The sequence below is a fragment of the Homo sapiens genome, chromosome 9, assembly GCF_000001405.40.
Source record: "Homo sapiens chromosome 9, GRCh38.p14 Primary Assembly".
Lineage (NCBI taxonomy): Eukaryota > Metazoa > Chordata > Mammalia > Primates > Hominidae > Homo > Homo sapiens.
The window spans coordinates 63,015,690-63,020,312 of NC_000009.12; positions in this window are offsets into that span (position 1 = coordinate 63,015,690).

Below are 4,623 nucleotides of genomic sequence, written 5' to 3' on the forward strand. Positions count from 1 at the left end.
ACTTGAATCTGAGACCTGAAACTATGAAGCTAGTAAAAAAAAAAAAAAAAATAGGAAAGGTCGGGCGCGGTGGCTCTTGTCTGTAATCTGAGCACTTTGGGTGGCCAAGGCGGGCGGATCACAAGGTCAGGAGATCGAGACCACCCTGGCTAACACGGTGAATCTCCGTCTCTACTAAAAATACAAAAAACAAAAAAAAAATTAGCGGGGCATGATGGTGGGCGCCTGTAGTCCCAGCTACTCGGGAGGCTGAGGCAGGAGAATGGCGTGAAAAAAAAAAAAAAGAAAGAAAGAAAGCATAGGAGAAATGCTCCAGGACATTAGTCTGGGCAAAGATTTTTTTGCGTAAGACCTCGGAAGCACAGGCAGCAAAAGCAAAAATAGACAATGGGATTATATCAAACTAAAAAGCCTCAAGCAAAGGAAACAATCAACAAAGTGAAGAGCCAAGCACAGAATGGGACAAAATATTTTCAAACTATCTATCTGACAAAGGATTAACAAGTAGAATATATAAGGAGCTCAAACAACTCAATAATAAACAAACAAAAAATCTGATTGAAAAATGGGCTACTGAAGAGGCTGAGGTAGGAGGATTTCTTTTTTTTTTTTTTTTTTTTTTTTTTTTTTTTTTTTTTAATGAGATGGAGTCTCGCTGTCGCCCAGGTTGGAGTGCAGTGGCGTGATCTCGGCTCACTGCAGGCTCTGCTCCCCCGGGGTTCACGCCATTCTCCTGCCTCAGCCTCCTGAGTAGCTGGGACTACAGGCGCCCGGCACCAATCCCGGCTGATTTTTTGTATTTTTAGTAGAGATGGGGTTTCACCATGTTAGCCAGGATGGTCTCGATCTCCTGACCTCGTGATCCGCCCACCTCTGCCTCCCAAATTGCTGGGAATACAGGCGTGAGCCACCGCGCCCGGTCAGGAGGATTTCTTAATCCCAGGAGTTTGAGGTTACAGTGAGCTATGATTATGCTACTGCCCTTTAGCTTGGGTGACAAAGCAAGACCTTACTTCTCAAAAAAAATAGTTAAAAATATATAAATAAATACAATTTAAAAATGGGCTAAAGATCTGAACAGATATTTTCTCAAAAGAAGACAAACAAATGGCCAATAGGAAGACAAAAAATATTCAGTATCACTAATCGTCAAAGAAATGCAAATCAAAATCACAATGCAATATCATCTCACCTTGGTTGAAATGACTTGTTTCAAAAAGACAGGCAATAACAGATGCTGGCAAGGATATGGAGAAAGGGAAATACTAGTACACTGTTGGTGGGAATCCACATTAATAAAGCCACTATGGAGAATAGTATGGAGGTTCCTCAAAAAAGTAAAAATAGAACTACCATGTGGTCCAGCAATTTCTTTACTGGATGTATATCCAAAATAAAGGAAATTAATGTATCAAAGACATATCTACATGCCGATGTGTACTGCAGCACTATTCACAATAGACAAAATATGGAATCAACGTAAGTGCTCATCAACAAATGAATAGATTTTAAAAGTCATATATATACATAATGCAATACTACTCAGAAACAAAGAAGAATGAAATTCTGTCATTCACAGCAACATAGGTGGCACTGGCCATTTGGTTTAACGTAATGAACATAGGCCATTATGTTAAGTGGAATGAGCCAAGCACAGAAAGGCAAATACCACATGTTGTCACTCATATGTGGGCAGTAAAAAAGTGGATCTCATGAAGATAGAAAGTAAATTGGTGGTTGCTAGAGGCCAGCAAGGGGAGTGGGAAGAGGAGATTAAGAGAAGAAAATATAAATGTATTTATCACCACTAAACTGTCCTCTAAAAATGTACAGATGGTAAATTATATATATATATTTTTTAACTCAATAAAAAGTTAAAAAAATTCTGCTGTGTGTTTATAGGGCACATGTACAAGACTTTCTCTAGGGTTGTATCAGTTTTCTATTCCTGCTGTAACAATTTACCACAAATTCAGTGGCTTAAAAGAACACATTTTTGTAAGATTTGAGTCAGTTTTAAAAAACACACACAGACTTATTGTCTTAGAATTGTTTTGGTTGGAAATCTGGCATGGCTCTCACTGAACTAACATCAAGATGTTGGCAGGCTGCATTTCTTTCTGAAGGCTCTAAAAGAGCATCTGGGTTGTTGGCAGAATTCAGTTCCTTGTGGTTGTAGATCCTCAGTTTCTTCCTGGTTGTAAACTTTGGGTCATTCCCAGCTTCTAAAGGTCACTGGCTTTTCTTGGCTTGTGGCCCCCTACCACTGTTTTAAAAGCCAGTAATAGCAGGCCACATCTTTCTCATACTGCCATCTGTCTGAATCTCAGCATCCAGAAAATATTCTCTGCTCTCAAGGAATTATGAGATTAGACTGGCTCACCAAGGTAATTCAAGGTAATTTCCCCATTTCAATGCCCTTAATGGTAATCACATCTGCCAAGTCTCTTTGAACATGCTAACTTACGTTAGCATGTTCACCTTATCTGAAGACTGGGATGTGGCTGTCTTTGGTGGGGGGCAATTATTCTGCCTAACCCAAAGATACACAACTTGCAGATATACAACTAGTTCATGGAGATGAAACATTTTCAAATCTACAAGAAAATGTTTTCTAAAATGAGCATTGCATATTAGACTTTCACGAGCACTGTATCAGACTTATATTTACTTCATAATATTGCCAATACTGATATCAGATATTTAATTTTCTAGCCAGTTCAGGATAATGTGAATTGTGAATAATATATTTGTTCATCCAGTCAACAAACATTTTTTATCAGATACCACCGATATGCTGGACAGTGTCATGGATCCTAAAAATATAGCTGTTATTATTATTTTTTTAAACAAAATCCCCACTGTGATAAAGCTTTTATTCTTTGGGACAGGCAGACAGTAATCCAGATAAATAAATGCAAGGGCAAATTGGGGGAAAAATTGGAATGGAGAGCTCAGAATCTGGCCCCAGAGAAGGGCAGAGGGAAAGGGGACCCAGTTCAGAATCTCGGTGCGTCCACACCAAACAATTCCATGAGGGCTGAAGAGACAGAGCTGAAAGGCTTGTCTGACATCACAAAAGACAGAAAAGTGAGCCCCATTTTCATCTCTATCCTGACAATGTTCCTGGCTTGATTTCCTCCTTCCAGCAGACACAAGAATCAGGGAGCGCACCCTGATGGTAACATTTTTTTCAGGGGCCTATTTTGGGGATCCTGGTGAGAACCTGAGTCCGTCACTGTCCACGGCAGCCCAGCATGGTCCCCAGTGCGTGGTCCAAGGCCAAGATTCTCTACCTCCATCCTGGAGGCAGAAGAAATGTCTGGGGGAAAATGAGAGGTTTTAGGTGGTTGGCACTGGGTGAGACCAAGGAGAAATTTTAAAGCTGTGTGTCCTGGGGCCGGGGGTGGTGGCTCACGCCTGTAATCCCAGCACTTTGAGAGGCCGAGGCGGGCAGATCACGAGGTCAGGACATTGAGACCATCCTGGCTAACGGTGAAACCCCGTCTCTACTAAAAATACAAAAAATTAGCCGGGCTTGGTAGCGGGCGCCTGTAGTCCCAGCTATTCGGGAGACTGAGGCAGGAGAATGGCGTGAACCGGGAGGCGCAGCTTGCAGTGAACTAAGATCGCGCCACTGCACTCCAGCCTGGGTGACAGAAAGAGACTCCTTCTCAAAAAAATAAAAATAAAATAAAAATAAAAAATAGAAAAAGCTGTGTGTCCTTTGTTTCTTCATATTTTGCAGATTTTTGATGTCAAAATATTTTCATAGTCAAAAGAGTGTTAATAAAGAATGACTTCTCTGTTATAAAAACCCTAATAGTGAATGTATTTACCAAGAAATTAGATTCTATCTTTGGTTTTTTGTTTTTTGCCCCGTAGTTTTTAAAAAAATAGTTTTATTGTGTGGATATTCTACAGTTAGTGTATCTATTCACCTCTTGATGGACATTTGGTTTGCTTCCAGTTGTTTTTGCTATTTCAAATAAAGTTGCTACGAATGTTTGTCCAATCGTTTGGACATACACTTTCATTTGTCTTGGGCAAATAAGCAGGATTTGAATGACTAGGTGGTGTGATATGTTTAACTTTTTTTTTTTTTTTTTTTTTTTTTTGAGACGGAGTCTCGCTCTGTCGCCCAGGCTGGAGTGCAGTGGTGCATCGCGGCTCACTGCAAGCTCCACCTCCCGGGTTCACGCCATTCTCCTGCCTCAGCTTCTGGAGTAGCTGGGATTACAGGTGCTCGCCACCACGCCCGGCTAATTTTTTGTATGTTTAGTAGATATGGGGTTTCGCCGTGTTAGCTAGGATGGTCTCGATTTCCTGACCTCGTGATCCGCCCGCCTTGGCCTCCCAAAGTGCTGGGATTACAGGCGTGAGCCACCGCTCCCAGCCAGTTTAACTTTTAAAGAAACTGACAAAGTGGCTGTATTTCCAGCAGCAGTATATGAGCATTCCTGTTCCTTTGTGTTCTCACCAATGTTTAGTATGGTCAGTCTTTTAAATTTTAGCTATTCTAATAGGCAAGTAACAGTATCTCATTGTGGTTTTAATTTACATTTCCCTAATGATGAATGATGTGCTTATGTATCGTCCATCTGTATTCTATGGTGAAATGTC